General features: G+C 39.8%; 1 protein-coding gene across 14 annotated transcripts in view; it reads right to left on the minus strand.

Annotated features, from left to right (window-relative positions):
* The window catches only part of PDSS2 (decaprenyl diphosphate synthase subunit 2), a 307,003-nt gene that overhangs the window by 57,690 nt on the left and 235,772 nt on the right, over positions 1-13,541 (minus strand). For 8 of the 14 annotated variants that reach the window (XM_011535960.4, XM_047419100.1, XM_047419098.1 and 5 more), the window contains 2 exons: positions 1,858-2,031; positions 188-319 (listed from right to left, as the gene is read on the minus strand). The exons of 3 other annotated variants lie outside the window; for them this stretch is intronic. In XM_011535960.4, the coding sequence (XP_011534262.1) occupies positions 188-319; positions 1,858-2,031 (306 nt within the window). The remainder of the gene's footprint in view (positions 1-187; positions 320-1,857; positions 2,032-13,541) is intronic. 3 more of the 14 variants (XM_047419099.1, XM_011535959.4, XM_011535957.4) reach the window with 1 other exon arrangement.

Below are 13,541 nucleotides of genomic sequence, written 5' to 3' on the forward strand. Positions count from 1 at the left end.
TACTGCAATCTCTAACTTTAACTAATCTTTTACCTCTTAAAAACGAAGATTACAAAGAAAGGATTTTACCTGTTACGTGAATATGCCTAAGGCTCATCTATAGCCATATATCACCAAGAAATATCAATTATGTTCTAAAATCCACTAATTACTACTGGTACCTAAAACAGGAGTAATTTCATTTTACCTCTCCGATCTGTTTAATCCACAAATCTCTTCCAAGAAATTCCTGATGTAAGACTACAGGAGCTGAGTTTAGATTAAAAGTCATGGAGTCACTGGTCTTTTCTTTAATAAAAGGCTGGACATCAGAATTTATCTACAAGAAGCAATTAAATGAGTAAATTAGTGAAATGTATATACACTAGTATGTTTTAGTTATATTCAGAAAGTACCAGTTAATGCAGTGAAATATGAAGCTTAAGGAATGCAGTTTTTAGATATACTTTAATAAACAAAAGAATATTTCAGGCCAGGTGCAGTGGCTTACGCCTGTAATCTCAGCAGTTTGGGAGGCTGGGATGGGTGGATCACCTGAGGTCAGGAGTTTGAGACCAGCCTGGTCAAAATGGCGAAACCCCATCTCTACTAAAAAAACAAAAATTGGGGGGGGTTTGCACACACATTCCAGCTACTAGGGAGGCTGAAGCAGGAGAATCGCTTGAACCTGGGAGACAGAGGTTGCAGTGAGCCGAGATTGCGCCACTGCACTCCCCTCTGGGCGAGAGCAAAACTCCGTCTCAAAAAAAAAAAAAAAAATTTCAGATGATTAACAATAACCTGTAAAATTCTCCAGAATTATTCCCTAATACATTCCTTTTCTAGTGGGTGGTGGTCTTTATTTTACTTTTTAAGTTAAAGGAAAAGATTTAGATAAAGATTTAATAAATAGAATTGCTTAATAAACTAATCTAAGATTAAATAAAATATGCAAAAAGCTCACCTGGAGATATTATATATGTATATATTCCCCCCCTTATGAACTATTTAAGTAACATCTGAATAGTATATATTAAATTAAATTTAAAATTATATATATAGAGAGAGGCAACAACACAGCAGCTAATCTTGGGATATTTTAGATTTCATATGCCCATTCAAAGAATTAGTTATTAAAATTAAAGCTTTCAATTTTATTCACTATATTTCTGAATTTTATTAACTTTTCATAACATGTTTTATATAAAGAGCTATAAGGGGCCAGGCGTGGTGGCTCACACCTGTAATCCCAGCACTTTGGGAGGCCAAGGCGGGCAGATCACGAGGTCAGGAATTCGAGACCATCCTGACCAACATGGTGAAACCTCGTCTCTACTAAAAATACAAAAATTAGCCAGGCGTGGTGGCATGTGCCTGTAATCCCAGCTACTCAGGAGGCTGAGGCAGGAGAATCGCTTGAACCTGGGAGGCAGAGGTTGCGTTGCAGTGAGCTGAGATTGCACCACTGCACTCCAGCCTGGGTGACAGAGCGAGACTCCATCTCAAAAAAAAAAAAAAAAAAGCTATAAGGGAACTGTAACAAAAAAGACAAATATTCTTCCATTATGTGAATATATTCCAGTCTGTAAATATGTTATTTAATAATATGTAAGAGTTCTCTCAAGAACCCTTTCAGGTGGGAAGAAAAGACAAACATCACAAAAATGGTTCAAGTAAACTGTGGCTTTCTGTAAGAATTACACAATACTTAGCAATTATACTATTTACATTACATAACAATCATCCAGGACTGACAGATTTGAACCACACAATAAGCATTTTTGAAATATAAAAGAAGCTTATTAAATGGCAAAAGGTTTCTTGTGTGTCGTTTTAGCTATTTAAGTACTGAAAAAAGATAAAGGGTGTGCAAAGTACCTTATGACTCATGGCCATGTGCTTCCCATACTGAAATGCCATATTCTGAACCTCAGCATCATGCTTTGCTAATTCCATTGCAGCTTGGCAGCTCTTTGCTAGTAAGGCACCATGGGAGAGAAAAGTCTGCTCCTTCCAAGTCGATATTCCAATATCATCTGTGATATAACTTTCCTAAAAATGTAACAAAAGCCAAGATAAAAAAGACTTTAGGAGTAATTTAATTGTTTCTGTTTTTGAAGAATAAAAAAGTTAAGAAACGAACTATTCAAAAACACTCAGGCTATTGGAACAAGACAGAACTAAAAGATGCCTAACCTCAGCTCTACCTAAAAAGAATGTGGTGGGAAAACTGCTTTTTTATGGTAATAGGGGGAAAGTTAAAGAAATGTTAAAGCAAATTTTATTCTAAGCTAGGGAACTTCTATTAAAATATACCCTACAGGATAAGGGAAAAAGTAGAAAGACTTCAAACTAACTCCCTTCTATAGTCAATATCAGTTCTTAAGTGCTGGTATTAAGCACAAGAAGCCTATTGCATTTAATTTATGTGAAAATGTCAAGGGCATATGGAAGGAACTACATTTTCTTAGAAATAATTAAATAGAAAAATAAGGCTGGGCATGGTGGCTCATGCCTATAGTCCAAGCACTTTGGGAGGCCAAGGCAGGAGGATTGCTTGAGGCCAGGAGTTCGAGACCAGCCTGGGCAACATAGCAAGACTCTACAAAAAAAAAAAAAAAAAAATAGCTAGGCAAGGGGGTGTGCCCCTGTAGTCCTGACTACTCAGGAGGCTGAGGCAGGAAGATCACTTGAGCCCAGGAGTTCAAGGTTATAAGTAAGCTATGATTGCACCACTGCACTACAGCCAGGATGACAGAGCAAGACCCTGTCTCTTTCTCTCCCCCTCTTTTTATTTGAGACAGGGTCTTGTTCTGTCACCCAAGCTGGAACGTAGTGGCATGATCATGGCTCACTGCAGCCTTGACCTCCCGGGCTCAAGCGATCCTTCCATCTCAGCCTCCCAAGTAGCTGGGACCACAGGCATGCACCACCACACCAAGTTAATTTTTTGTATTTTTTGTAGATACAGAGTTTCTCCATGTTGGCCAGGCTGGTCTTGAACTCCTGAGCTCAAGTGATCTGCCAGCCTTGACCTCCCAAAGTACTGGGATTACAGGCATAAGCCACCACACCCAGATAATTTTTTTTTTTTTTTTTAATAGAGATGGGGTTTCACCATGTTGGTCAGGCTGGTCTTGAACTCCTGGTCTCAGGTAATCTGCCTGCCTTGGCCTCCCAAAGTGCTGGAATTACAGGCATGAGTCACTGCGCCCAGTTTACCCTCTATCTTAAAAAAAGAAAAAGAAGGGTGGGCATGGTGGCTCATGCCTGTAATCCCAGCACTTTGGGAGGCTGAGGTGGGTGGATCACGAGGTCAGGAGTTCAAGACTAGCCTAGCTAACATGGTGAAACCCTGTCTCTACTAAAAATAGAAAAATTAGCCGGGTGGTGGCAGGTGCCTGTAATCCCAGCTACTTGGGAGGCCGAGGCAGGAGAATCACTTGAACCTGGGTGGGAGAGGTTGCAGTGAGTCGAGATTGCACCCCTGCACTCCAGCCTGGGCGAAAGAGCAAGACTGTCTCAAAACAAAGAAACAAACAAAGCAAAAGAAAGAAAAATCAGAGAAGATGTAATCTATTATAATGGAGAATGAATATTATAGTCTTCATGAAAGTTTATTCTCATAAGAAACAAGGTGTAAAAGAGGATATAATTTATAAATAAATATATACACATCTACCACCTCTAGACCAATGCTGTCCAATGGAAATATAATGTGAACCACATATGTAATGTAAACTTTTCTAGTGGCTATATAAAAAAAAGTGGAAACAGGTAAAATTAATCTTAATGACATATTTTATCTATCCCAATATATCCAAATATCATTTTAAACATATATTGAATATGAAAATTATTAGTGAGCTATTTTACACTTTTTTTTTTTTTGAGATGGAGTCTCTCTGTGTCACCCAGGCTGGAGTGCAGTGGCGCGATCTCGGCTCACTGCAAGCTCTGCCTCCCGGGTTCACTCCATTCTCCTGCCTCAGCCTCTCCGAGTAGCTGGACTACAGGCGCCCGCCACCACGCCCAGCTAATTTTTTGTATTTTTAGTAGAGACGGGGTTTCACCGTGGTCTCGATCTCCTGACCTCGTGATCCGCCCGCCTCGGCCTCCCAAAGTGCTGGGATTACAAGTGTGAGCCACCGCTCCCGGCCTTTACACTTTTTTTATACTAAGTTTTCAAAATCACTGTGCATTTTATACTTACAACACCTCACTAGCCACAATTTAAGTGCTCAGCATTGGACAGTAGGGCTCTGAGGAAAGGAATGCTGAAGCAAACATATAAAACCATGTTCATTTTATGGCATTTATTTGAAACGTCAAACTAACTGGAACCTACCCAGAAGGATTAATTAACTCAATACACTTTTCTTCCTGCTCCTGATCCTATAATCCTTTCTCTTTTCACAATTGCTTGGAGACAAAATAAAAAATATTAAGAAAAAAAAGTGGTCACCAAAAGGTCAGCTGAAATAGAGCCCCCTCCTCTTCTGCCATGTTGAGGGGCATCTTCAGCCCACTGGTCAAATCAAATTATTAGCTTAACTTCATGCAATGTTTTTGAGATGGGGTCTTGCTATATTGCCCAGACTGGTCTCAAACTCCTGAGCTCAAGCAATCCTCCCACCTCAGCTTTCCAAGTAACTGGGATCACAGGTGTGTGCCACCATGCCCAACATCACCTTAATTTTATTAAGTATTTGAACAACAAAAAAAATTCCACTTATGGCAATGGTTGCAAATATGCAACACAGCATTGGATAATGACAGAAAAGCCACACAGGAGAGAAACAATGCATAATGTTAAGACCTTCTTTACAAAACATTAGGTATAAATTATAACATACTTAATTTTATAAATCTGAGAATGTATTTTAAAATGTGACAATATATATTAATAAACCTAAGAAAAACCATATTATCTCTCCATATATACTGCAGAGGTATTTGACAAAATTCAACTCCTATTCTTGATGAGAAAAAATGTCCAGAATAAAATAGGAAGAGCTGGGTGCAGTGGCTCACACCTGTAATCGTAGCAACTCAGGAGGCTGAGGAGGGAGGATCACTTGAACCCAGGAGTTCAAGGCTGCAGTGGGCCATAATCATGCCACTGCTGTCCAGCCTGGATGACGCAGTGAGAACCCTAACTCTAAAAAATAAAAAAATAGCAACTGATGTGTATTTCTTTAATGTGATAGGGGTGTGTGTGTCAGCCCAAAAGTCAGCAAATATTTTATGAGGAAACATGAGCCTTTCTCACTAATGTCAGGAGTAAGACAGAGATGCACACAACACCACTGATATTTACAATGTAATAGAAGAGATAAGAGAAAGGTAGATGTAAACAAATTAGGAAAGATGAGTTTAACTCTTACTGTTTGAAGGCAATATAACTGCATACTGGGAAAATCAAGAGATTCAACTAAAAAACTACTATAAACTAGAAGATAATTCAGTAAGGTAGCAGTGTCTAAAATTAATAATTTATTATTAACATAATAAATTGTATTAACTATAGCTTTCATACATAAAAACTAATCAGTAAGTTTTATAAATAGGATCTTTTCTTTCATTATGAATACAAAAATAAAAGATTAAAAAACTGGGAATAAGGTCGGGAACGGTGGCTCATGCCTGTAATCCCAGCACTTTGGGAGGCAGAGGTGGGCAGATTACTTGAGTTTAGGAGTTAAAGACCAGCCTGAGCAACATGGTGAAATCCCGTCTCTACCAAAAATACACAAATTAGTTGGGTGTGGTGTCTTGTGCCTATAGTCCCAGCTACTTGGGAGGCTGAGGCAGGAGAATGACGTGAGCTTGGGAAGCAGAGGCTGCAGTGAGCTGAGATTTTGCCACTGCACTCCAGCCTGGGCAACAAAGGGAGACCCTGTCCAAAAAAACCCAAAATACAACAAAAAACCCAAAACAAAGAAAAAAACCTAGGAATAAGGCCAGGTGAGGTGGCTCACACCTGTAATCCCAGCAGTTTGGGAGGGTGAGGGGGCGGATCACCTGAGGTCAAGAGTTTGAGACCAGCCTGACCAACATGGTGAAACCCAGTCTCTACTAAAAATACAAAAATTAGCCGGGCATGGTGAAGTACTCCTGTAGTACCAGCTACTTGGGAGGCTGAGGCAGGAGGATCACTCGAACCAGGGAGGCAGAGGTTGCAGTGAGCTGAGATTGCGCCACTGCACTCTAACCTGGACAACAGAGCCAGACTCCATCTCAAAGAAAACCAAAAAAAACAAAAAACAAAAAACAAAACCTGGGAATAAGCTTAGAAACGCGCAAAACTGAATGCGCAAAACTGAATGAAGAAAATGTTAAAATACTATTGCAGGAACAAAGATAACTCGAATGAATATAAAGACATATCATGTTCAAAGATAGTAAGATCCAACCTCATAAGTTACTCCAATAAAACTAACAATACCTTTTCCCTCTGACACTGGGCAAACTGAAGTTCATATGGGAAAAATAAACAAAGAAGAGCAGCCAGGAAAATCTTGAAAAAGAAGAGCAATGAATGTGTGTGTGTTGGGGGAGGGGTGGAGAGGGACAGCAAATTTTGTCTAAGCCTTACCAGATACTATAACATGCTGTAAAATCTCAGAAATTTTAAAAATATGTACTTTTTAGATAGAGAGACAGACTAGGGAGCAAAATAGAAAGTCCAGAAAGCAACCAAACTATATATAGGGATTTGCTATATTTTAGGAAGAAGTTGAACTTTTCAGTAAATGGTGCTGGTACAACTAAAGAGCTATCTGGAAAAAATAAAGTCTGAGCTGCATTTCGTACTATTTACCAGGATAAACTCTAAATGGCAAAAACAGCAAAACCACCACAAAACCACGGGCAATGTTAGGAGACAAAGGACAATGAGGAAAACAATTCATATTTCCTATCACAGACAAACGGCGAATCTCCCTGAGGTAGGCTAACAATGCTCAATGTTTAAGCAAAGATGTCTATATCCTAATCCCTGGAAGCTATGAATGTTACCTTACAAGGCAAAAGGGACTATACAGATGTAATTAAATTCAGGATTTTGAAATGAGGGGATTACTCTGGTTTAACTGGATGGGCTCAATGTAATCATAGTAGTCCTTATAAGAGGGAGGCACAGTCAAAGTCATAAAAGGTAATTTAATGACAGGAGAGAGAAATTTGAAGATGAGAGATGGGGCCATGAGCCAAGGAATAAACATGGAAATTAGAGAAGGCAAGGAAATGGATTTTCCAATAGAACTCCAGGAAGAATACAAGTCTGTCAACATCTTGATTTAGTGACTTCTGACCAATAAAAAAAAAAAACTCTCAGCTTCCCTCTTAGTGATGGTAAGGCTGTGACCAAATAGGCCTCTCAAATATGGCTGGTGGAAGTGGAAACTAGCTGGAAATTCCACAATCTCTATCAAAATTATAAGTGAATTTGCCCTGTGACTCAGGAATCCCATGTCCAGGAATTAATCCTACAGATAAACCTACATACATGCGAAATGAAATATGTACAAAGTGTGAAAGTTGATCACAGAAATTGGGTCAATCTTGTCACACCTGACTAAAACAGAGTTGAGAAGTCACAGGAGGAAAAAGGACTTAGAATATGTAACATTGCTCCAAAACTGTAAGTCTCTACAAGCCTGGCTGCTCAAGCTGCCTGCTATAATCTCAAATCAGTTTTATCTAATAGTTGCTGAAATAACTTGCTGCAACTCTAAGACTAATTTTATCCACCACTATCATTCACTAATCAAAATCTGCCAACTCCCCAGAACCTTACTAGTGCGGATGAACTCTCTCAAAGAGCAATATGTAACATTTCTCCTTTTCATAAAACCTCCAACCTTCTCTCTGTTCTTCAGACATACTAAAGACCATTTGGTCTGTGTGTACACCCTGAATTGCAATTCTTTCCTCTCAAGTAAACTGTTAAATTTAGATATTTGGCTCTCTATACATTTTATTTGACTTTGACAAAGGTTACAGTCTGTTGTTCACCCAACTGCCAGGGTGACCTTTAAAAACACAAACCAGAACTACAATGGCCTCCAGCTGTTCCAAACACTCTAGGCATCACCTCCTAGATGCCTCTTGGCCTCTAGGAGGCCTCTGCACTTGCTGTTCTGCAGATACACTCTCTAGACGTTTGCATGGCTAGATTTCTCATTACTTTTGGGTCTCTACTTAAACTTCAACTCATCTTTAATAGTCTACCAGCCTCCCCCATTATTTCCTATATCCTTACCTTGCGTTAAACCTTTCTTCCTTGATATTACTGGACCACTCATATACTTATTTGTTAAATGAGTTATTGTCTGTCTCCTTTACTAGACTATAAGTTCCATGAAAGCAAGGACTTGGTTTGGCCTCTGCTGCACAATCAGCATCTAATATAGTATCTTAGGTGGGCAATAAATATTTGTTGAATTTTTTGTCTTTCTTTTGGTATCTCTCTCCCTCTTTTGTACCTTCCTCTATCTTTCCTAACTTGGTCAGAATAAAGAATTGAAATAATTCTCCTTTAGGCTGGATGCGGTGGCTCATGCCTATAATCCCAGCACTTTGGGAGGCCAAGGCGGCCGGATCACCTGAGGTCAGGAGTTTGAGACCAGCCTGGCCAACATGGTGAAACTTTGTCTCTACTAAAAATGCAAACATTAGCTGGGCCTGGTGGTGGGTGCCTGTAATCCCAGCTATTCAGGAGGCTGAGGCAGGAGAATCACTTGAACCCAGGAGGCAGAGGTTGCAGTGAGCCGACATCACGCCATTGCACTCCAGCCTGGGTGACAAGAGTGAAACTCTGTCTCAAAAAAAAAAAAAATTAATTAAAAAAAAATTCTCTTTTAATGCCTCTCTACTGCTCATAGAATCAAGATGAACTCTATAGCATAGCATTCAAGGCATTCCCTTTTATAGTACCAAGCAATACTTCTAGTCCCATCTCCTACACAAAATATCCCCTTTGAGGCCTGAATTTAACACACAGGGGAAGTTGCTGTTTCTTGAATAAAATACATATTTTCACACTTGCGTGAATTTATTTTATTTATTTTTGTGATGGAGTCTTGCTCTGTCACCCAGGCTGGAGTGCAGTGGCGCAATCTCGGCTCACTGCAACCTCCGCCTCCCAGGTTCAAGCAATTCTCCTGCCTCAGCCTCCCGAGTAGCTGGGACTACAGGTGCGCACCACTACACCCGGCTAATTTTTGTATTTTTAGTAGAGACGATTTTCGCTATGTTGGCCAGGGTGGTCTCAAACTTCTGACCTCAGGTGATCCACCCGCCTTGGCCTCCCAAAATGCTGGGATTATAGGCATGAGCCACTGTGCTTGGCCTACTTGTGTGAACTTTAAATCTAATCCAGATATCACTTCTTTGAGGAGCGCTCTCAAATACTACCACAAATATTTTCCTCTTTAGACTAACATTATCTTATTTATATTATGACACAGCAGTTAATTCTCTCTGAACTGTATGATTTCTTATATGTTTCCTTGAAGGTTAGACCTGGTACTAGTCACTTTTATATTTTTTAATCACTTAGGCCATATTCAAGTTTCAAGTATTTGCTAAATGAATAGTACCTGTTTATCTGTTGCATTATTAAGTAGATGTGTGCGTGTGTTTTAAATGTTAAAAGCTAATGGGTAGATATGGACATATAATGACATGCTATTCAGCAATAAAAAGGAATTACTGACACATGCTATGCCATGGATGAACTTCGAAAACATTATGCTAAGTGGAAGAAGCCGGACACAAGAGACCACATATTTGTATAATTCCATTGATGTGAAATGTAGATTAGTGATTGCCTGGGGCTGGGGGTGGGAACTGTAAATGGGCATGAGGGACCTTATAGGGGTGTGTGTGAAAATGTTCTAAAAATGATTTGGTAATGACTGTATCACTTGATAAAAGTTACTAAAAATCATTGAATCGTAGGCTTGAAATGGGTGAATTTTATGACATAAAATATACCTCAATAAAGCTGTTAAGAAAGAAAAAAGCTAATGAGCATAATATTTTACATTTATTGGTCTCAAATGTTTAAATTAACATTTTAAAAAATGTATGACTCTCAATTAACTGTGGTTTGCATATCATCCTCATTTATTCATGCAAAAAAAACCCATTTATTAAGGTTCTATTATGGTTCAGGCTTTCTGCAAAGCAATATAGATATGAAGATTAATAAACAGCCTGTCCTCAAGAAGCTCACAGTCCAGGGATAGAATGTATATATATCAATATATAGATATAACTATATAGATACAGATATCTATATATAGAATGTATAGATAATTCTATTTCAGAATAATTGAAAGATCTCTAAAATCAAAGATTCAGTTTTGTTTATTACATATTTCTTACTGTGATTAAGACTTTATTATTCATCATTTCTACATTTTAAATTATTCAAGTAATACACGATCACTGGAAAAAAAATAGAAAATTCAGAAAACCAAGAAACGATTAATTTATAGTCCCCTGAAATCTACTACCATAAGTTAATTGGACCACAAATTAACTGTTCCTAAGTTAATCAGAAATTTTATTCCCTAAACATTATTACCTTTTATGAGTTTGGTTACTAATGAAACAAAATCCCTCATTTCCATCAGCTTGCCGTGTATATACTAAGAGAGCATGCTCTATTATAAAGGAAAAGTTAGTATAAATTGTAAAATGCCAAGAAACTAGTATGATAACCACATCCAAATCAGTACCTTCAGATACCAGATATACAGAATTGTGAAATGAATGCATGTTAGTCAGAGTAAATGAGATTTAGATATACCTATATCAGGACGGGCGCGGTGGCTCACGCCTGTAATCCCAACACTTCGGGAGGCCGAGGCAGGTGGATCACGAGGTCAGGAGATTGAGACCATCCTGGCTAACACGGTGAAACCCCGTCTCTACCAAAAATGCAAAAAATTAGCTGGGAGTAGTGGCGGGCGCCTGTAATCCCAGCTACTTGGGAGGCTGAGGCAGGTGAATGGCGTGAACCTGGGAGGCGGAGCTTGTAGTGAGCCGAGACCGCACCATGGCACTCCAGCCTGGGCGACAGAGTGAGACTCCGTCTCGAAAAAAAAAAAAAAAAAAAAAAAAAAAGATACACCTATATCATCAACTTACATATGTGCAGTTTTTACTAAGGTTTATTATACAGAAAAGGAGGATACATTCAGTGAATATTTACTTTTGACGGGATTTCCTTTTTTTTTCCTGAAAGGTGATAGATGTCAAGATACTTGTTGAATGACTATCAGAGAGAAGTATGTTAATTTTTTTTAAATGTAGGTCTCACTGTCACATGACCTTTTTGCTGAAGTAAGGCTGGTTCAAATAACATGGGAAAAAAACTGAAACTTGCAAGATGATGCTTGCTTGAGATAGTGGTACTGGTGGTTTTGCTCAGCCATATGCTGCTCTCCTACTTTACTGCTCCGAGAGATACTTTGAGTTGCTTTTCTAATGGTGGTGAGACATTTGTACATATCTACTCACATGAGAACAAACTGCACTTGTAACAGTGGCTGCTCAGGATTAAAGGTCTGGTCCATGGTCACAGAACAAAGGTGAACTAATTGGCCCGGAAAGGTGTCAAAGCCCCAGCAAGAACCTGCCAAGCCAAACTGCTACCTTTCACATAATCAGAAAAGAAGAGGTGGAAACAAAGAAGCTAGCTGCCTGTGAAGTTAAAAGTACTTTTTAAAAAAGTATGCAAATGTCGCCTGTTTTCATGCTTAGGATTTCAGATTCATATTCTGGGTCACTATCTTTATAAATACAACCTAAATTTGGGTTGGATGAGACACCAGATCTCTCTAATGACCCATTTCACCATGTTAAATGTTTGCTTTGAATTAGCCTTTTCAATTATTTTGAGAAACTGGACAGCCAAAAATTTACATACCTTATTATTTTTTTTAAAAAAGGTCAAGTATAGAAAAATGTCTATAAATCTCCACATTTGGGAATCAGAAAAAAGCAAGGAAAAGAATGCAATCTAATATCTCCTGGGAGCTAACTATGTGATGACACTTTTATGTTCTTTATTATAACAGCCCTCAGAAATATTAATTATCATTATTCCCATTTAATAGGTAAGGAGGGCCGGGCATGGTAGCTCACACTTGTAATCCCAGCACTTTGGGAGGCCGAGGTGGGTGGATCACTTGATGTCAGGAGCTCGAGACCATCCTGGCCAAAATGGTGAAACCCCATCTCTACTAAAAATACAAAAAATTAGCTGGGCGTGGTGGCAGCACCTGTAATCCCAGCTACTCAGGAGGCTGAGGCAGGAGAATCACTTGAACTTGGGAGGCAGAGGTTGCAGTGAACCAAGATGGTGCCACTGCACTCCAGCCTGGGTGACAGAGCAAGACTGTCTCAAAAAAAAAAAAAAAAAAGGTAAGATTTCAAGAATGTATTTTGACCAAGATTAGACCGTAGTATGTGGCAGAGATGAGTCTCAGAAGTATAGCAATTGGATTCCATTTTCTTAGCACATAACAGAATATATGCAATACTTAATATATCTTACGGTTTAAAAGCAGGTTGTAGACTGGGTGTGGTGGCTCATACCTGTAATCTAAGCACATTGGGAGGCCAACATGTGAGGACAGCTTAAGCCTAAAATGTCAAGACCAGCCTGGGCAACAAAGTGACACCCTGTCTCTACAAAAAAAATTTTTTTTTTTTTTTTAAGATGGAGTATCACCCTGTCACCCAGGCTGGAGTGCAATGGTGCAATCTCGGCTCACTGCAACCTCTGCCTCCTGGGTTCAAGTGATTCTCCTGCCTCAGCCTCCTGAGTAGCTGGGATTACAGGTGTGCGTCACCACACCCAGATAATTTTTTGTATCTTTAGCAGAGGCCAGGATGGTCTCGAACTCCTGACCTCATGATCCGCCCGCCTCAGCCTCCCAAAGTGCTAGGATTATAGGTGTGAACCACTGCGCTCTACAAACATTTTTTTAAAAAATTGGCCAGGCATGGTGGCTCATGCCTATAATCCTGGCACTTTGGGAGGCCGAGGTGGGCAGATCACCTGAGCTCAGGAGTTTGAGACCAGCCTGGGCAACATGGTGAAACTCTGTCTCTACCAAAAATACAAAAAACAAGCCAGTTGTGGTGGCATGTGCCTGTGGTCCCAGCTCCTCGGGAGGCTGAGGTGGGAAGACTGCTTGAGCCTGGGAGGGAGGTGGAGGTTGCAGTGAGCTGAGATCATGCCACCACGCTCCAGGATGGGTGACAGAGTGAGACTCCATCTCAAAAAACAAACAAACAAACAAACAAAAACTAGTTGGGCATGATGGTACATGCTTGTGGTTCCAGCCACACATGGGAGGCTGAGGTGGGGAGATCGCTTGAGTCCAGGAGGTCAAGGCTGCAGTGAGACACGTTCAGGCCACTGCACTCTAGCTTGGGCAGCAGAGTAAAACCCTGTCTCAGGGTTGTAGATTGTATTTAAGAGTGAATGACATCTATGTACCCGCCCCCGACCCCGACCCACCAAGAGCATTTAAACT

Source organism: Homo sapiens, chromosome 6 (assembly GCF_000001405.40).
Source record: "Homo sapiens chromosome 6, GRCh38.p14 Primary Assembly".
Classification (NCBI taxonomy): Eukaryota; Metazoa; Chordata; class Mammalia; order Primates; family Hominidae; genus Homo; species Homo sapiens.